Consider the following 20780-nt stretch of genomic DNA (forward strand, 5'->3'; position numbering starts at 1 on the left):
TTGAGTTCCTACAATATACAGGCATTCCTTCACTCTGCATTTCTTGTCCCTCAGGCCTCATCTTCTGTGATTATTAGAAGATGACGTGTGTGTGCATATATATCATCACTGTAAAAATGGACCTTTTAAATCTCTCCTGGAACTGTGCATAGTCCTAGAAATCTACAGTATGTAGATTTAGTGTCCACACATTCTCTGATAGGCTGTTTACTGTAGCATCTTAAAATGAGGAAGGATGTAAAATATTCAGAGTATATACATATCTTCCAGGTTTTTCAAAAGGAAAAAGTTTCGTCTTCTGATTTATAAAAATGATACATGAATATTGTAAAAGGAAATCAAACAATACAGAAAAATGCAAAGTTTTAAAAAATCCAGAATCTCTTCCTGCTTCAGTTTGGTGACATCACTCCATGTTCACGGAGCACAGCCACACAGCTGCACATAAATGAGACCATGAGTTTGTGTTCAACACACAGTTCAGTGTGTGCTATTTTCCCTCATCTATATGCTGTGCACAATATTTGTATATCAGTAAATGTAGATTTAGATCTTCATTTTTAATTATCCTATTATTCTTGTATATGGTTATACCAGAATTTATGTAACCAATCACTTATTGATGAATCCTTGTGTGGTTTTCTACGTTTTATCAATATAATCGGCACTGTGACAGACAGCCTTATTTGTGTTTGTGTGCTTATATGTTTAAATTCTTCTAGAGGGAGTTTCTGGGTCAAAGGATACACACACCAAAAAAAACATATGCATACAGGTTTATATGCTTACATTTGACCTGCTAACCCTTCAAAAGAAAAATGTACCAATTTTCACTCCAAAAACGCTAGAGAGTGTTCCATTTTCCCAGGACTTCCCAAGCACAGGATTTTCAGCAATATTTTTTCAAAGCATCTTTACTGCTATCAAAGGAGAAAAATACCCTCACTTTTAAAACTCCTCATTTCTTCAAGTATTAAGTGAGGGTAAAAACCCTTTCCTATATTATTGGCCATTTGTTTTTCTTTTTTTATGAGTTGTTTACTTACAGCCTTTCCCATTTTTCTCCTTATTATTCATTTTTAACAGGTCTTTGTGTGATGGTGTTATTAATCTTTTATCATTTTTCTTGTGACTGTTTTCTAGTTAATTTTTTGTTTAACTTTTGCTTGTTGGAAGTTGATGTGGAGATGGGAACCAAATGTATTTTTGTTGCCAATTTTTCTATTTGTAACTTACATTATATTACAAAGACCTTTCCACCCCAGTGAAGGTCTATAATCGTATGCACCCATATTTTTAGGACAAGTACTTCTATGATTTTATTTTCTGCCATTAAATTGTTGTTCCAAATAGCCTCCCTAGGATTTACTTAGGAGTAAGATGTGAACGAAGTAAAGATCTGCTTTCATTTTATTTTTTCCAAACAAAATATCCTTTGTCCCATTAGCACTGATATAAAATTTCACCTAATCATATGCTAAATTCCTTCTTACACACTTGAGTCTATTTCTAGACTCTTTTCCAGGCCACTTCTGCATGTTTTAAACCTGTTTAAGACATATTAGGAAGCTATAGTTATTTAAAATATTAAATAATCTGGCTGAGCAAGCTTTTCTGCCTTGATGATCTTTTTGCATCTTCTCTTTTGAGGTTGAATTTAGAATCACTTTGTCAAACTTTCCCAACCCCACTCCCAGCCAGGAGAAGAAAATCTAGATAGACTCTTTTTTTGGGGGATAAGTGCGTCCTTTTGAGTACATCCAGTTCTATCAAATTGCCGTCACTGTTGGTCTATTTTGAAATAATTTCAAACCCATAGAAAGATTGTAAGAACAAACACCACAAAGGATTCCTGCATCTCCTTAACCAAGATTCCCTGATTTTTTACATGTTACAGAATTTGCTTCATCACCTTTTCTCTCTAGATGAAAACATTGTCTTTTTCTGACATGATAACTCCTTACCCCTAAATACTTCCATGCACCATGGGCCTCCCAAGAATACCTCCTCCTTGGTCACCTCACACTGCTGCCGATGAGGAAATCAGCACTGACTCAACAGGACTGTCAGCCCACAGACCACACTTCACCTGCTACCCTAATGTTGTCGTTTCCTTTCTGGTCCAGGAATCTGTCATGCATCATCAGCTCCTTCATATGGAACAGTTCCTTACTCTTTCGTGTCTCTCTCCACCCTGACAGACTTGAAGAAAGTGCAGGGCTTTCATCTGTAGGGAGAGCCCCAGCCCTGGCCCACCTGGTGTTTCCTCATGACCAGACTCAAGCCGTGCATTCTTGGCAGGAAGACCCCAGAACTGGTGCTATGTTTGTGAGGTGCATCCCATCAGTAGGTTCAAGAGGCCACCTGTCCTACCACTAGTGATGCTGACCTAGACCTGGTCACATTGGTATCTCCACGGTCTCCCTGCTGTGAAGGCCTTATTTTCCCTTTGTGTTTGCTTAGTATTTTGTGGGGGAGATACTCCAGTGTTATGCCAGTATCCTGATCCTCATCTAACTTCCACCCATCAGCCTTAGCTTCCATTGAGAACATTGTGATGATCTATTTCCATCATTTCTTCTACATTTATGAATTGATATTCTATTAAAGGAGGAGTTTCCCCTTCTCTCTTTAGTTATGTAACTATTCATTTATTTGGTTATGTTAGTAAGGAGTCAAGGACTCATATTTATTCATTGGGCTATAATCTATAACTTATTTTAATATTCAAAATGCCATAGATTTTGCCCTTCAAACTGACTCTCCTTCCTTTGGCATGTCTCTTCATTATTTACTTTCTAGCGCAAGGTGTTCAGGCTCATCTTGTCCTTTCTCTGCCCCAGCCCTGGAGTCAGCCGTTTCTCCCAGGAGCCACATTCCTTCTGTTGGAGGATGCTGCTAGAAACCATGCTCTGGGATCTGAGCTCCGGGTGTGCTCCCTGCTATGGAGGTGTCATTGCTTCTAGGTGCTCTCAGTGGGAAGAGCTGGGAAACATGGATGTGTGTACACAGAGTGCATGTGTATGTAGATGTGTGTGCATGTACATCCACAGTGCATGCGTGAGGACTGCCATCTGTGTGTGGGGGGGAGTATTTCACAAGTCCATAGTGATACTTCCAGTTCTAATATCTGGAGGCTCTTTGTAGGGCTCTCTCTCTCTCCTTTTCCATGTGTAAATCTCCCTTCTCATAGAGCATGAGACTTGGCTGTTTTCTTCAACAGGATATGTATTTGCTCAATCAGTGAACTTTTGTTTCAATGTAACCAGTCTCTCAACCATGCCAGCCGCCTTTTCAGCTGCCACGTCCCCTCCTGGACCCCACCGGCTGCCTTAGCTGCAAGCAGGCCACTGCCACCACCTCCTAATGACGCCCCCCACTACCACCCCACTCCCTGTGACTTCTGCTGGGAGGGAAAAGGACAATTGAAGGACAAGGCTTTCATTCTTTGTTTTTTCGGAAAACAACTCAAAGTCCTTTCGTGACTTCAGGTTGATGGAAGTTAGGAAATCGGAACAGAGTGTGCCTTCACCTCTGCATGGCTGTGGGATGTGTCCACTTTCCCTCTGCCTCGTTTTGCCTCCTCACCTGGGGTCAGGTTGTATCAGGTGTCTTGCCAGACCCCAGTAGCGGGTGGCTGACCCTGTGGTTGTTCTAAGGGAAGTCAGTTCTGGTCCAAAGCCAAGGTGTGGCAGTAGAAGTTGAGGCACATTTTCTGGGTGCTTTCTATCCTAAAAACACATGGTCTGCAGTCCCCCTTTTTCTGGGTGACATGAGGTACGGTGAGAGGTGAGTCCTGGAGGACCTCTTTGGCCTCCTCTGGTGTCCGTGATGGGGTAGCGAGGTAGGGCTGTCATAATGAAGGAGGCCCAGTGTCTGAGAGCTCTTCTTTGCAATACTTAGGGTTTACCACGGTGTTCTGTGCAGCTCCAGTTTCTGAATGTGCTCGAGGAAGACAGTAGAGGGAGGGGAAAGGGTCATAGATGGGGGGCCCAGGTCTTCTGGGAGGCCCTATAGGAATCTGTTTTTCCTTTTAGGTTATGAGTGAGCTGCCAGCTGATAAAACACTATCGCAGCTTAAAAAACTATGAACTTCATGAAAACTAATTCAGAATGGACCATAGACCTAAATGTAAAACGCAAAACTGTGAAACTCCTAGAAGATAACATAGGAGAAAAAGATGTCCTTGGGTTTGATGATGACTCTTAGATATAATGCCAAACAGTGCATGAAAGGAAGAATTGATAAGTTGGATCCACAGTGAGGATGGGAGAAGGAGGTAGGTTACAGAATTTCCACACACCTGGCAATAGGCGCTGAGCTGTGTTCAGGAATAGAAGCTAAGAGAAGGTGAGAATGCAGGACACGGCATGGCCCAGACAGACGCCTGTTCAGCCAGGGGCTGGGCACATGGTCCAGGGCTCAGCCCACCGGGTTACAAAGGCCCCAGGTCAGACTGCACACATCCACATCTGGTGTGTCAGTCAGATCTGGCCTCTGCCCCTAGAAGCTGGAAGAAGGTGGAGCCCCAATGACTTAATTATTGATGCTCTGCCTACCTCAATTTATTTATAGAATATCTGCTTCCTGCATAGTATTCTGTGAGGACCTTACAGCCGAGGTAATAAGCTGTGGTTCCTGGCTTCCAGGCACTCCTGTCTAGTGGGGAGACAGCATGTCCCACATGACTGGGTGCAGTGTGCTCAGATGGTCTATGTCACAGGACCCTCTCAGGTGAGCAGGCCAGGGAGGCCACAGAGCAGAAGTGACACTGGGTCAGTAACACTTCCTCCCAGTGAGAGGGGACAGAGAGGCGGGGCTGGCGGCCTGTCCACATAGGACTACACAGACGCACAGCACCTGTGTGACAGCGGGAAGAAGGGCAGGTAACCTTCAGGGGAAGTTGTGGTTAGCAGACAGACATGGGGGCAGATTGGAGAAGGAGTCAAGAGTGTTCCTGAAATCTGGGGCCCAGTGGCCCAGGCGTGGGGGCAGTTGATGACAATCAGGCAGGATGGAGACTTACCTTCTCCTCAGGACTGGGTCCTAGAGGGGCCGGAATGCCTCGCTGTGGAGTTGGCCTTGCCTCTAGGCCTTGTGGCTGTGGGTGGGTGAGAGGGGTCCCTGAGGGCAGGGCAGAGGTTTCATTGTTTGTGAGTCTGGTCACCATGGGATGGGCACTTAGTAAATAGTTGTCCCTTGAAGGAAGGAAGGACATTCATTTAGCATAGGTCTTTACGGGGGCGTTTTAGGCTGGTACGATGGAGTTTGTGGAAAAGGCTGGGGAGAAGAGGCCAGGTAGGAGGGAGGCTCAGGGCAGCAGAGCAGGCACGGGCGGCTCTTGTGAGGAGGACTTTGGCTCACTGTGAACTGGCCATGTGCTTGTGTGGAGCTGGCCAGCCCTCGGGTTCTGGGAGCTCTGACCTTCAGGATTGCTGAGGCCAAAGCACAGAGCTGGAAGGGCAGGCCTGTGGGGGGCGCCATCCTCTGGGGAGCTTTGGGCCAGAGCACCCCCACCATCATGAGTCAGAAAGATCCCTCTAGTTGATGTCAGCAAGGAGCCAGGCTGGAGGAGCAGACTCGAGCAGGGAGACTTGGGTTGGGAAGACTCGAGTGGGGAGACTTGGGAGCGGGGAAAGTCGGGAACAGGGAGACTCTAGGTGGGAGACTCAGGGGAGACTTGGGAGGGGGGAGACTTGAATAGAGAGACTCGGGACGGGGAGACTCAGTGTAGGGGAGACTCGGTGTGGCGGAGACTTGATGGGGGAGACTCGGTGTGGGGGAGACTTGATGGGGGAGACTCAAGTCGGGAGACTCAGGGAGACTCAAGCGGGGAGACTTGGGAGATTCGGGGGAAGACTCAAGCGGGGAGACTCGGGGAGACTCGAGTAGGGAGACATGGGGAGACTCGGGGGGAGACTTGAGTGGGGAGACTCGAGCGGGGACACTCAGGGAGACTCAAGGCAGGAGACATGGGGAGACTAAAGGGGTAAACTTGGGGAGACTTGAGGGGGGAAGTGAATTAGCCAGAAGGTGAGCTAAAGTTTCCAGCAGAGAGGCGGCAAGGACTCTAAGACGACAGGGGGTGGGGAACAGGCAGCCACCCACAGTCTGGAGTGCTAGGGACCCACCCAGTGCCAGTTGGGTGACAGCTCCCTGCTTTGTTGAGGACCCAGTGCTGAGGGAAGGTCACGTCATAGGATTGTGCTCAAGAGCCTCCCGCAGCCCCACACAGAGCAGGGTTGGGGCAGCCCAAGGACTCCCCTGTGTCCAGAGGCCATGGCTGCAAGGGGCTGCCATGGTGAGTCTCATTGGCAGAAACAGCGCCAGAAAGCTCTTCAGCCACAGGCGGGCTGGAAGTCGTCATCCCCCAGCACCAAAGGCCACCATGGCCCTGCCCTTTCCTTCCGCCTTGCCAAAGCCCAGAAAGCGCCCCACCTGGCTTCCTCTGACATCTAGTGAATGAGGGTGCATCTCCTCTTAGGGAAAGTGTGCATTCTTTATTTTTTTCCAACAAAGAAACAAAGAGGAATGGCCCTTTCTTCTTTCCGTGTGTGTGAGAGAGAAGGGATAGTCCTGGACAATCCTGTCACACGCAGCCTCTGCCTCACTAAGCAGCAGCCAGGGGCTCGTTTGTGTCTCAGGCCCTCTTGGGAGCAATGCACCCCCAGGCTCTCTCGCAAGCCTCAGCTCTCAAACAGGCCCCTCTCCCACCTGAGGGATGGGGCAGCTGGAGCCCGGCATCCTGCAGTTGATAGCAATCCCGTGTGGCGTGTTGATCGATGGCAGGACCTCTGGGTTCCACTTACCCAGGCTGAGTGGCACATCGTCAATAGCAGTCAGTTAACCAAGTCCTTAGTAACCAGCTGGTCTCATCAGCGCCTCAGCCCTAGCCACGGGTTAAAGCAGAAACCCCTCCTGAACAGCTAGATTGGACCTGACCAAGATGAATGTCTAATTCACTCGGAATCTCCTTACTGCTGCCTGTAATAAAAAGCCTGCTCCATGTATTCACCCCCCTGCTGATGTTTCTCTGAAATTAAGTATCAGGAGGACATATAATAGCCCAGTTCCACACCAGGCCAATATTATCAGATTGATGTCAGCAGTGATAATAGGAGAAGGATAAGTTGATGAGATTCCATTTATTAAATAAAGTGAAGAGAGCACACAGAGGATTTGGGGCCACACGTGTGAGCAGGCGCTGGGCGCGCTCCACAGGAGAAAGAGAGAACAGGGCCTGGCGTCTGGTCCCGAATCCCTCTTCTTGCCCACCTGGGAGCTGGAGTGCCCGCCGTCATGGGAACGACTTGGCCACCTACGATGTGTGCGCCCAAGATGGGAAGGTGCCACCCATGCTTCTGCCAGGCTGGTCTCATGACAGGACGCTTCCGCTCACTTCTGTTTGCTTTTCTTCCCACCTCATGTTGATGCTGCAGGCTGCCATGAGTTCATGTCTTCCTCTCTCACTTTCCTCCCTGTGGCTCCTGGGCTGGGAGCTTCCCGGCTGCCCAATGGGAGTTGGCAAGCTTCTGCCCCATGCAGAGCCCTGCCTAATGTGGTTCGGGGCAACTGTCTTTTCTTTTTCTGAGTACCCTTGGTTGTCTCTTTCAGAATGTCTTGGAATTTTCTAATGGCAGAGTGGAGCTCATGTGGCGGTGCAGAGAGCAAGAGCTATGGAGCTGAGCACACTCCACTCTTCCTATCCCGGGCCCCTCTCACTGCTCTGTGACTGCGGGCCAGTCACGTGAGCTGCCTGTGACTTACCAACCCCGTCTGCAGAACGGGGTGGGAAGGCCCAGCTCACAGGGTTGTTGTGAACCTAGAACACAGGAAGCCCTGACAGGCAGAAGTTCCCAAGACCACAGACATCCAGATCCACTCTCAAATGAGGCCGAATTTTCTGCCCGTGCTGTTGACCATCAGCTCCCCTCCCACAGGCTGATCCTCATCCCAGATCTCTCCCAGTGCAGAAGACTTCCTGGGCAGCACCTGGCAGCAGCTTTAGGAACCGGCTCATAAGCTACGGCTCCTCCCCTTTTCCATTATGTGGGTTAAGGTGAGTCAGTTCATCTCTAAATAAAATAACGCCTTACAGGGGAGGACAGAGATTGGAGACACCATGTGCAGACCCTGGCATGGAGCCTGGCATGTGGTGGGCATTGAAGTGTAGCGGCTATTGCTGATGTGCGCCTGGGCCCAGCCACCATGCCGTGGAAAGTGCACACTGCTCTCAGAAAACGATCAGAGATACATTGGTCCCCCGGTCATTCCTGCCCATCCCCGCTCCCCACTCTACTTCTGGGAAACGGGTCCAACCCCTTTGCAGCATGCCTGATGACATGGGTTTCCCAGGGCTGCCAAAACAAAGCACCACATGTCAGGCCTTTCAGCCCAGAAACTTATCCTCTCACAGTTCTGGAGGGCAGAGGTCCACAATTAAGGTGTTGGTGGTCCAGTCTCGCCCTCAGGCTGGAGGGGAAATCTGTTGCAGCCCCTCCTAGGCTGCTGGTGGTGCTGGCATCCTTGGCATTCCGGGACACACATACTGTTGGGCACACACATCGCTCTACTGTCAGCCTCGGTCCCCATAGTGCCTCCTCCCTGTGTTGTGGTCTCTGTGTCTCCTCTCTTCTTCACAAGAGAATATGAATGGGATTCGTACTGGATTAGGGGCCCACCCTACCCCATATGCCCTTGTCTTAACTAATCACATCTGTAACAACCCTGTTTCCCAATAAGGCCATGTTCCGAGGCTCCAGGAAGGACATGAATTTGAGGGGATCATCAAACCCACTAACCTTTGCACATGTCTAGTTCTCAGGAGCCCCTGGACCCCTCAACTTGACCAGGTTGTCTTCTTCTGACAACAATTTGTGACAGGCACCCTCTCCAAACTGACTTAATCCAAAAGTGGAACATATAGGTTTGTGCTACAGGAAAGCTAAAAATAGTACCTGGCTTCGAATTGAGGAACTCATTTGGTGTTAGAGTCTGTTTCCTTTTGGACAGTGGGTCATGGAGTTTGGAAGCCCAGCTTTATGTTCTCCCTGGAAGATCACAGTTTCACCCCATACCTTTCACTGGGCCCATGAATGGGTTCATACTAGCCCAGGCTGGCTCATGTGGGCCAAACCCATGCTACCCAGGCCAGAAGGGGAAACCTGAGAAATAAAGGGGCATCTCTGCCTTACCTGAGAGTCCTGCTGTGTGAAGTCAGTGCATTAATAGACAGTGGTGGCACAGCTCCTGCCTTATAGCACTGCCAGGTCCAGTGTTTCCTTCCCTCCAATGCTCCTGCTTGGCAGAGTCTCAGATACAGCCAGTTGTGTGCTTTGAACCAGCAGGCTGTGCTGCTGACTCTGAGCCAAGGAGAACAGAAGGGACAACCTGACCCTGTCCAACAGTCTGCATTTCCTATCTAGGCACAAACAGGCAACACTTCATAACCCAGTGGCGGCCCTGGACCCAGGAGGTTTGTGCAGTCATGGACAGCTACACAGGCGCCTGCCATGGACGGAAGGGAAGGCTGCACAGACACCTGCCATGGACGGAAAAAGGGAAGGCTGCACCAACAGGTCTGCCGTGGACGGAAGGGAAGGCTGCACGGACTCCTGCTGTGGACGAAAGGGAAGGCTGCCCAGAGGTCTGCCGTGGACGGAAGGGAAGGCTGCTGCGTGGACTGCCGCCGTGGACGGAAGGGAAGGCTGCTGCCCGGACTGCCGCCGTGGACGGAAGGGAAGGCTGCTGCCCGGACTGCCGCCGTGGACGGAAGGGAAGGCTGCTGCCCGGACTGCCGCCGTGGACGGAAGGGAAGGCTGCTGCGCGGACTGCCGCCGTGGACGGAAGGGAAGGCTGTACAGAGCCTTATCACCAATGGGAAGGAAAGGCTGCACGGAGGCTTGCTTGGATAGAAGGGAAGGGTGCAGATTGTCTTGGACATGAAGGGAAGGCTACACACAGAATTATCATGGATGGAAGGAAAGCTGCACAGAGGAATGTTAATGACGAGAAGGGAAGAATGCAGAGCCTTGCCATAGATGAGAAGGAAGGATGCACAGAAGCTTTTTTGATGAGAAGAAAAGGCTGCACAAAACCTTTTCATGGATGGAAGTGAATGCTGCACAGATGTCTTGTCATAGAAGGAAGGGAAGTCTTCAGAGACACTTGTCAGGGAGGAAGGGAGGGCTGCACAGTGGCTTGTTGTGTTATGAATGGGAAGGAAGACTGCACAGAGGCTTGCCATGGGTGTGAAGGGAAGTCTCCACACAAAATTCTCATTCCTGCACAGATGATGGGAAAAGAAGGCCACACAGAGGATTGTCATGGATGGAAGTGAGCACTGCACCAAGTTTTGTCATTGAGGGAAGGGAAGGCTTCAGAGAGGCTTTCTGTGCATGGAAGAAAAAGTTGTATGCAGGGTAGTCAGAGGCAGAGATAAAGGCTGCACAGAGGCCTCTCATAGAGGGAAGTGTAGTTTACAGGAGCTTGTCCTACAAGAAGGGAGGTCTGCAGAGAAGCTTATTGTGGATCAGCAGGAAAGCCGAGCACTAGAATGTCTATGAATTGAATGGAAGACTGCAATGAAAATTGTCATGGATGGAAGGGAATGCTACAGAGAGACTTTTTTTTCTTTTGAGACAAAGTCTTGCTCTATATCTCAGGCTGGAGTGCAGTGGCACGCTCTCTGCTCACTGCACACCTGCCTCCTGGGTGCAAGTGATTCTCCTGCCTCAGCCTCCCAACTAACTGGGATTACAGGCCCTCACCACCATGCCTGGCTAATTTGTGTATTTTTAGTAGAGATGAGGTTTCACCATGCTGGCCAGGTGGGTCTTGAACTCCTGACCTCAAGTGATCGCCTGCATCGGCCTCCCAAAGTGCTAGGATTACAGGCATGAGCCATTGCACCTGGCCTGCACAGGATTTTCATGGATGGGAAAGAAAGGCTGCACAGAGGAATGGCTATGATGTGAAGGAGAGGGTGTTCAGAAGCTTGTCATGGGTGGATGGGGCAGCTGCATAGAGCCATACCATTGTTGGGAAGGGAGTGATGCAGAAAGCATTGTTGTTGATGGGAAGGAAAGGTCATATGGATTCTTGTTATGGATTGAAGGTTGCATATGTCATAGATGGGAAGCAAAGGTCTCACGGAAGCTTGTCACAGATGAAATTGATATGGTTTGGCTGTTTCCCCACCTAAATCTCATCTTGAATTGTAATCCCCACGTGTCAAGGAAGGAAGGTAATTGGATTATGGGGGTGGTTCCCCCGGGCTGTTCTCATGATGGTGAGTTCTCGTGAGACCTGATGATTTTATAAGGGGCTCTTCCCGCTTTGCATCTCTGTCTCACCTGCCGCCATGTAAGATGTGCCTGCTTCCCCCTCCACTATGATTGTAAGTTTCCTGAGGCCTCACCAGCAATGCAAAACTGTAAGTCAATTAAACCTCTTTTCTTTATAAATTACCCAGTCTCAGGCAGTTATTTATAGGAGTGTGAAAACAGACTAATACAAAAAAATGAATACTGCACAGAATGTTGTCATGTAACTAAGGGAAGACTTCATGGAAGCTTTCCATGGATGGAAGGAAAAGTTGCAAAGAAGCTTCACGTGGATTGGAAGGGAGGTTGCTCAGAGGCATGTCATGAGTGGAAAGGGAAGGGTGCAGAGGTTATGGATGGAAGGGAAGGTTGTACCGAAACTTATGGATAGTGGACCAAGACCAGAGAGAAGGAAGAGGGAGGGAGGATCGCCTGGGTCTCTAGCTAGTTATGGGTTCTTCACCAAGTGCAGTGTATTCTGCCTGAGGAGAAGTGGGTATGAGACCAGGGGCCAGTCGGCCACCAGAGGTGTGAGGTCAGTTCCCTCATCCAGCTGGGGATGGGCTGGGGACACAGACCAACTTCTCAGGGCACTCAGGCTGGCGGCAGAGTTATACCAGCTCTGCGACAATGGCAGGGTGACAGGTCACAGTGTCAGGGTGCTTGAGATAGCCTGAGGTCCATGGGAGACCTAGCAGGCCGTCAGGTCTGGGTACAGTCTAACTAGGCCTGAGATCTGGCCTTGCTTTTCAAATGGTGAACTTGAGCAAGTTACTGTATCACTTGGAGACATTGTGGGTTTGTTTTTGTTTTGTTTTGTTTTAAGGAAAAACAGAGCTTCTACCTTATGTGGGCCTGCTTGGGATTAAATGAGGTAATGCTTCGCACATTGTGCAGTGAGTTGTGATTACCTAAGAATGAGTTTTTGAACTGCCTTGGTGTTTTAGAAATCTGTGGCCTGCATTATGTTCTGAAAGCATCACTGTTGCTGGAAGTAGAGAGGACCGTTGGGAGGCTATTTAATGACAGTGAAAACAAGGGCATGGGCTAGGGCTCTCCTGTAGGCTAGACTTGGGAGTGCTCTGTGGGCATGGGGGCTGGAGAAGTTGGGTGCTCTGGGTGTGCAGCTGGACCAGCTGGGTGTTGGTGCTGCCGACCCAACTGAAATTCAGGAGGAGGAGATGTTGGGATGAGGGCTAGCCACATCTGGTCCATGTGGGCCCATGGCCACCTGCTGGGCTGCATGGCAGGCAGGGGACAGCAGGTCTTGAGCTGGGCACCATGCTGGTGTGCTGAGGGGACAAGGGCAGGGGCCACAGGTGGAGCTCGCACACAGGCAGAGGCCCAGGGTCCAGCAGAAGAGAACCAGAGTAAGTGGCCAGAGAGGCAGTGAGGGCCAGGCAGGTGCCGTCAGCTGAGCAGTGAGGCTCGGCATGGGGCCCAGGGGAGTGGGGCAGGGGGAGCCCCAGGCAGCACCTCTCTAAGCAAGGAGAAGCTGCTGTGGCCTGGGACGGAGATGGAGGCAAAAGGGGGTTTCGATTTGAAAAGCTTTTCCATATTTTGAGAGATGAATGTGTTTTGGATGGAGTGCGGGGAATGGAGAAGGTCCAGGAGAGGTGGTCAGTGGGAGAGGCCCGCTCAGGCACAGGGGTTGGGAAGGAACCACATGGGGCCTCTGGACTCTGCTGTGTCTGTGGTCTCAGCCGACAGGGTGGGGGCTCTGGGAGTCAGGCAGACCTATGCGGCCTGCTTGCCAGGGACCAGGACCCATGTGCCTTGTCTGTGGCCATCACATTCTCAGGGCCATCAGGAGGCTGGATGTGGGGTCTTCTGTGGTCCTATTTACTGAATGCCAATGATTCCTTCAGGGCCACACTGCGTTACTGAGCATGTTCTGACCGGGCCGTCTTGGGCATCACCTGCCATTCTCCTGCCATCCTCTCAACAGCTCTGTGGGGTGGGGTCCTCCCCCATACCTGATGCACCGACCACACAGTGGAAAGTGACAAAGCCAGCGCCTTGCCCCAGGTTTGTCTGATCCCAGAACCTGTGTTCTTTCCACTAGACCAAGAGTCCCAGCCTCAGACATCTGCCAGCTCCTTGTTGAAGAGACACCATGATTATGCAGACTCGCTAATGCCCTAACATGCCTGAGGAGGAGGCACCACTGAGGCTGGGCGAGGTCTGAACTAGGTCTCGAATGATATCAGAGCTTACGCTGTAGAGGGAGGGACCCTTTAAGGTAAGGTCCCACCCTCCAAGCCCTACGTTGGCAGTTCCACCACCCCAGCATATCCTCAGCTCTTCTCTGCCAAGTGCCTCCAGTAACCCAGCCTTTCTGCAAGCTCACCCCACTCCAGACCCTGGCCCCACCTCGGTTTCTCACACTGATGGCTAGGTTGCTATGAGAGCTGCACTTCACAGCATGCAATTCTGTTCTTCTATGGGGCAAGCGGTGTTACTGTTCCCATTGTACCAATGAGGAACATAAGAGCCAGTGAGGTGAGCCAACTTCCTGGGCATTGTCTTTGATGCCTGTGCAAACAGACACCCCATACACCAATGCGAATGGTGTGAACCCCTTCGAAGCCACATGGACCATTAGATCTTCATTCTCCAAGGAAATGTCCTTACACAGGGGTACAGGACTTATTTCTATCCCTGGCAAGTTTGTGGCACACTTTGGATACCTTTATCTGTGCATGTGAAGAGTAGCTGTTTGCAAGACCATGTTTCTGAACATGGGAGCTGTTTTGTATGCATTGTAAACAGGGTCATGGTGTGCCAGGGCTGGGAGGGGTTCAGGGTGGATAGAGTGCACCTACTTTTGTGAATGGCTTCACCGAAGGCCTAGCCCTGCCTTGCTTCAGAGAAAGCTTTTCATTTCCAGAGCTATGCTCTCCCTGTCTTATCCCATTCAGAGCCTTTTTGTGGACAAATGGGTGAAATTTCTTCCAGTTGACATTTGCCTTCCATTCTGTCTCCTCATATTGTTCTGATAAGTCCCAGGAGAGAGAGGCTGTCATGGTCCCACGGGCGATACTGGCAAGGAGGGGATAGATTTCGCCATGGCCCAGTTTCTCCTAAACTGGGAGCCCACTGCGAGGTTTGCCCTCAAAATGCAGAGGCCCTTGTCCTGGGACCTGAAACTAAAGTAGGAGAAGCCAGTGAGGAGGGGACACAGCCAGGCTGACCATGGGGAGAGGGGCAAATGTGGCTGTGTCTTCCTGCACATCGCCATTCTGCAAAGTGTCGGCGTCTCTGTTGTGCCTCTGTAGAGGGCAGGGCTCAGCAGGTCAGCCCTCCAGCTCCATGAGGCTCAGCCACATGACTCAGGCTGGGGCCACTTAGCCTCCGCCTGTCCTGTCTATGGTACCTCTTTTCACATAGATCAGTAAGCCTCACAGAGTTACAGCTTAGGACAGCTCTGCCCTGACTAAGCCTGGGGCTTCCCCTGAGCCACTCACCATGACACACAGGTCCCCTCAGTGCCTGCTGGCCTCCACGGTGCAGCCAGGAACCAGGCTCACCAGGGCCCCATGAGGGCAGGGTGGGGTCCTGCTTCAGGGGAGTGCAGCAGAGGCTATGATGGAAGTCATGCTCTGGGGTCTCAGACTCTAGAGGGCCAGCACCGTCAGGAGGAACAGAAGACACAGCAAGAGGCTGGTATGAGGGGACAGCAGTATAGGTGACAAGAGAGAGCCCAGGGAGACTGGCAGTGCCACTGAAGGCACCCACTGCCCTGCAGATTTAACCCTGCCTGGGGAGGGGAGAGCACAGCCTTCTAAGGCTGGAGACTCAGGGAGCAGAACAGGAGGGGAGGCCTCTGCGATGGAGGCAGAGAGCCTGGCCTGTGACTTGAAAGTGCTCCTAAAACAGGTGTCAGAACACTCAGAACCAAAGCTGTATGTGCAGTCCCTGAGAACACCTGCCTGAGACGAAATGCCATGAGGCCAGCCGTCCCCCAAGGAAGAAGCAGCCTAAAAAGCCCACAACTAGACACACCCATGTCACAGTTCTTAAATACAGATGTGGAGCCGTGCTTAAGCACCTGGAGACAAATCAGGGGCTGCCCCAGACACCCCAGCTGTATTCTTGCCCCAGCCGCCTGTGCGGCAGCTGACGCAGGCCAGTGAAGCGGGTCTCCGGAGCTGGGCAGAGGACTGCACACCAGGGGCTCATCTGCCCTGCATATGTAAGAACGAGAAGTCAATGCAGATAAAACCCCCCCCACCCAGTCCTCTTCAGGAAATAAGAGGACCCTTTAAGACTTGGTGCATGCAATGCAGACTTGAGTCAGAATTGTGACCTCAATGGCTAGGATGGGGTGGAATTCAAGGACCCAGGCCAGGGCTGGGCCACCATGGCCTCCCCTGGCAGGAAGGGGAAGGCGTGCTCTCCCTTCACATCCTTTACCTTGGCGCTGGTGTGGCATGGCAGTCACAGGCGGCTGCACCCCACCCCACACTCATCCCTCCCCGTCTTTAATTTAGGGACTGTTCGTTTTGTTCATGCCCTGGGGATGGGTCTTGCTGGCCTTAGCTGAACATGGGACACTCACTGCTCATGTTAGCGATGGTGTTAGGCATGGGTATGTGACCTGGTCCTAGACAGTGAGTGGAGGAGAAACCTGGAGTGGGGTTTGAGGGGAGCATTGTCCCGCGTAGTCAGATGAGACAGCAGAGAGACCTGCTCCTCCCTGCTCCCTTTGACCTCTGCTGCAGAGAGGACTGCGCTGCATACAGTGGCCTGGGGATGACATGGACGAGAAGGGAAGACCAGACCCAGGTGGCATCACTGCTAAGTCAGCAGTGTACAGAAGTGTCCACCCGCAGACTTCCAGAGCAAGACAGCTAAATATGGGGTCCTGTTCCCAAGCTGTCGAGCATCCTGGTGCTGGTGGTTTCTAGCTGAGGAACTGTGTTCAAGTTATCGTTAGATGATAACGGCTCTGGAGACCCTGGTGGGAGAGCAACTGACCTACATATCTCTCTCTCCACGTACCTGGAGTGGAGCTGTGGCATGTGTGACAGTGATCCTTTCTATTGCTAAGAAACTTGAGGAATGGCTTTCTACATTTTTACAGCTCTTTTTGGTGCCCTCAGCCGTGAGTGGTGTTCAATTTGGAAAGGCTGTTAAGTGTTACAGTGGGTCCGTCTACAGCTGGGAAGGGTCCTGGCCTAAAACCCACTTAAGAAAACAAATGAGCAGCAACAGTACATCCAAAGCCATGTAAATAAATATGTCCCGCTCCTCCACTGTCCAGCTGCATGGCCTTAATTCTCTGAGCCTCAGTTTCCTCATTTGTGTGAACAGCATGATGAACGATAGTGTCTGCTACCAGAGCTGTAAGGAGCAGCACTGAGCACGCCCAGCAGCCGGAGGACAGCACCTGGCTGGCAGGGAGTGCACGAATGTGCTGTTGTGTGTGTCAGTGTGCGCACGAGAGAGAGAGAGAGAGAGAGAGAGAGAAATCTGGAAGGAGACCAACCAATCCAAAATTACGCTCAGGAGGCTGGGCCAGTGACTGACTTTAGTTTATCTATATTTGCTCTTTTTTTCCACAACTTTAGAAAGTGAACTTACTCACTTTTGTGGGTTCTAAAACTACTTTGAAAAAGAAAGAAAAAAATAGTAAATTACCCCCAAAATATTATAATGGTTACCTCTAAGAAGTAAAAAGAACATTTTTCATTTCTTTAGACATTTCTGTAGATTTCATTTTCCTTATTGCACGCATATTAGTTTTAAATCAGGAAAAAAAATAAGTCACATGGTTATAGTCACGGGTAAACCACAGGCACAGGAAAGCCCAGGAAAGCAGCTGACGGCTATCCTGGGCACAGTGGGGCGGGCTGTCTCAGGCATAAAGGGATGGCTATCCTGGGCACAGCGGGGCGGGTTGTCCTGGAGGCGGGCTGCACCATCCTCATGGGGGCCCTCCAGTGGGGCTTTCCTGTCTCCTGAGTGTACACAGGCCCCAGTGAAGGAGCCCGGTGTGGAGCCCCATACCACAGCATGTTTCAGTGTCTGCTATATTGTGAGCCTAAGCCACCCACCACAGGGCTTGACCCTGCGACCGTCCTCTCATTTCTAGAACGGGAAAGCACAGTGCTTCTCCTTGAGGGTTAAAAGGATGCTGCTGGGTGTCAGGGACTTAGCCTAGCGCCTGGGAGGTAGGTGGAGTGAATGTGAGTTGTTTCTCTCCCCTGCCTGCTGGCACCTGAGCCCCAGGCCTGCCTGCTCTTGTCTTCTGCAGGCCCCGCAGGGTGGAGCCCGTCTGCTCAGGGTTGCAGGCCCAGATTCTCCACTGCTACCGAGATCGCCCGCATGAGGTGCTGCTGTGCTCGGACCTGGTCAAGGCATACCAGCGCTGCGTGAGCGCCGCCCACAAGGTAAGGCCTTGCCTGCCTCCCAGGTTTCCAAGGGCCTTGGGAGGTAGGCGAGGTACCTCTATCTAGCATTGGAGATCTCTGCCTGCCTTTTCCTGTTAGAATCAGATGCTCCACTTGGAGGTCTCTGCATTTGCCAAGGGAGGGATTCTTCGCTTTCCTCAGTCACCTGCACACTCTCCTGGCTGCTTCCAGGAGCGCCTTGGACATCTGGCCCCAGGGAGATGATCCCTGTTGCGTTTGCCCTATTAGGCTGGGTGGGAGCAGGCTGGGTAAAGTCAGGCCCCACCTTCAAGGGCCGGGCCCCTTGTGGGTGCCGGGGACTTCTTAGCCCTCGGCACTTAGGGGTGGGAGGGTGGCAGAGGCCCGAGTGCAGAGTGGGGGTCCCAGCAAGGATAGGCCATCTGGAAGAGGAGTGGGAGCAGATGTGGCCATCAGAAGCTGCTCACAGCCACCCTGCCCTGAGCTGGTCTACAGGGGTGTGCTGGCTTGGCCTTCCTGGTGAGTGGTCCCAAGCCTCATGTGCTCTCTGGTCACCTCCCACTCCAGTGGGCCTCGGTTGTCCTGGATGCCTGTGATGCGCTCCCAGCCAGCTCCTACTGCCTTCCTCCCCCACCCCCAACTGCTGCTCTCTATCCTAGATAAGTCCTCCCCCTTCCCAGGTCCCGTAGCGTCCTCTGGTGCAGTCAGGCTGTTCCCAGCCATACCTCACCCTTGCCCCACCCCAACAGGACAGCTCCCACCTTGGGGAGCATCATTCACTCTCAGAACACCTAGTTTGGGCTCCCCAAGGAGTGCGGCCTGTTTGTGAAAATGTATGGGAGAAACAACAGGACGAGGTCTCCTTTCCCACGTAAAAGCCTCTTTGGCCTGAGTAGGAGACAGGCTGCTTTAGGTACTTGGGATGGAAAAGGCTGAGGCCAGATGCTCTGTGCTCTCCAGCCATGTCCAAGGGGAGATCTGTCCCACTGAACTGAGCGGGGTCCTGCAGCCCCAGGCCTGCAAGAGCTTCCTTGGGTCATGCCCTGCTCACACCCATCTGCCAAGGCTGATTGTTCCACTCTTTGCTGGTCACAGCCCCGTCCAGCACCGACTGTCCCTTCATGGCCAGAACACAGCCCAGAAGTAGCTCCACACAGGATGAGTGGTCGCAAGGCCTCTGTCAGCCTTCCAAGAGAGGGAAGCCCTGGGTAGGACAGGCGGCCTCCTCCTCCATCTCAGAGGATGGAAGGCTGCTCACTCTGCTTCCACGTGGGCAGGAGGCGCTGGGGCACTGGGTAGGCTGGGCCAGACCAGGGCCCTTCGCACCGACCAGACACTTAGCTCCCTACTCACCAGCAAAGTGAAGCCTCCAGATCCTCCACACACCCAATCAAGGGCAGCTCCGAGTCTCTGTTCATCACACACCTAACTCTTTACCGAGGGATCTGCTGCAGCCTCTTGGCTTCCTGGCAGGGCCTACGCCTCAGTGGCCAGCCCTAGACTCCATCCTCTCTCCATCCAGCCCCACCTCTGTGGTAGTTTTCAGCCCCTACCCACCACCCCTAAGAGTATTTCTTTAACAAACACACCTCACCAATATATCTTCCTCGCACCAAGGCAAAAATGTGATTACCAAGGAAGACAGATCACATTAAACCCCAGTGTATTCCCTGAGAGAGGCTCTGGGACACTGCCAGGTCTGGCTCCCTCCTTCCCGGCCCCTACCCCTGACATGACTAGCAAAGAAACCAGAGACTGAGCAATGGCAGTGCCAGAGGCCTGCCTGCTCTCCCCACGTGCTGCCTTGGCAGTGTGTGTGCATTTGGAGACGGCATATTCAACCTGACTCCCTCGGAGCCCCAGCACCCAGGCACTTGGGTGGTGCCCTGTGTGTGAGATGTGGCAAGTGCTGGAGAAACTCTCACCACCCTTCGCCAGCCTTCGCCTCAGAAGGCTGCTGGCAGAACCAGAGAGCGGGGAGTGAAGGGTCCCTAAGAGGGATTTGCTTATGCAAGGGGCCAAACAGCAGGGGACAGAGGCCCACATGGTCAAGGGCCTTGGGGTGGGGCAGCACTGCTTCTCTCTCCAGGATCTAACATCTGCCCTGGGGCTCCTAGGGCAGGTAGGTGATGCCTAGGCCCAGAGCCTGGCACCTGCCTGTGTGCAGATGTGCTGGGCATCTCAGATGAGGACAGGGGCCTCAGGCTGTCCACCACAGGACCCTGACTGTGCGGACCCCAGCATCCCAGCAGGCTCCTGCTGAGCTGTGAAAAATCAGAGAACAGAGGGGAGGCCTTGATGAGGCAGAGCAGAGTTGGGTTAGACTCTTCTATATCCAGGGTGCTTGTCAGAAACACCGCAGCAGGTTGAGGGGGCAGGGGCAGGGGACCTGCCTTCTGAGCCAGCCCTGGGAGAGTAAAGGAAAGGGGAGCGGGTTCTGGTGTCACTGTCGTGTGGAGTGAGGGCCCGTCCCCTGTTGCTGGGGACTGTGCTGGGCTCCGGGGTACAGAGGTGAAGAGACTCACTGATGGGTCTCCAGGTGAGGAGGGAGACCAACTCACAGCTGCTCCCTGGGAAGCGGTTGCTGTCACAGGGCGATCTGCACGGAGCTGGAGGGCATGGGCGGAGTGGGCCCTGACTCAACTCTGACCTGTTCTCTTTGTAGGGCTGAGGAGCAGACATCATTCCCTGCCCTGGCAGTGACTTGGAGCCCTGAAGAAGGGACCAATCATGGGACCACAGCCACTGTGCCCTGCCGTTTCCTGCTGGGCCCCTGCATATGCCCCTGAGCCTGGGGCTGCCACGTGTTTAGGAAACAAAGTATGCGCTACTGTCTGAAAACAAATAAAGCAGATGCCTTTGTTTTCAGTCGTTGACTCACTGGCAAACAGTCACTGCTGCCTACTCTGCGTCCAGCCCTCTGCTGGACACCAGCGAAGTGGAGCTGAGGAAGATGGGCTGCTCCCCTCGGGGAGTCCCTGGCCTGGCAGGGGAGATGGCCTGAGAACCCCTAATTACATTGCAGCAGCAGCAGCAGCAGCAGCAGGCTGCCGCGGAAACAGGGAGGAGAAGGAAAGGGAG

The 20780-nt window shown here is 52.1% G+C and overlaps 1 protein-coding gene across 2 annotated transcripts in view, besides 2 other annotated features; it reads left to right on the forward strand.

Annotated features, from left to right (window-relative positions):
- The window catches only part of CHCHD6 (coiled-coil-helix-coiled-coil-helix domain containing 6), a 256181-nt gene extending 235592 nt beyond the window's left edge, over window positions 1-20589 (forward strand). For both annotated transcript variants that reach the window (NM_001320610.2, NM_032343.3), the window contains exons 7-8: window positions 17585-17720; window positions 20365-20589. In NM_001320610.2, coding sequence (NP_001307539.1) covers window positions 17585-17720; window positions 20365-20370 — 142 coding nt within the window. In that variant the 3' untranslated portion in view covers window positions 20371-20589. The remainder of the gene's footprint in view (window positions 1-17584; window positions 17721-20364) is intronic.
- Window positions 14800-14889: an enhancer, noted in NCBI's record as "active region_20445". NCBI's record gives its function as "activates an Ori minimal core promoter by ATAC-STARR-seq in GM12878 lymphoblastoid cells {active_cell/tissue: GM12878}" and the evidence as "EXISTENCE:reporter gene assay evidence [ECO:0000049][PMID:35858748]".
- Window positions 20079-20626: an enhancer, noted in NCBI's record as "H3K27ac-H3K4me1 hESC enhancer chr3:126678753-126679300 (GRCh37/hg19 assembly coordinates)". NCBI's record gives its function as "activates a minimal SCP1, AML or CMV promoter by ChIP-STARR-seq in naive H9 embryonic stem cells {active_cell/tissue: H9 hESC(naive)}" and the evidence as "EXISTENCE:reporter gene assay evidence [ECO:0000049][PMID:30033119]".

The sequence above is a fragment of the Homo sapiens genome, chromosome 3 (genome assembly GCF_000001405.40).
Source record: "Homo sapiens chromosome 3, GRCh38.p14 Primary Assembly".
In the NCBI taxonomy this organism is placed as follows: Eukaryota; Metazoa; Chordata; class Mammalia; order Primates; family Hominidae; genus Homo; species Homo sapiens.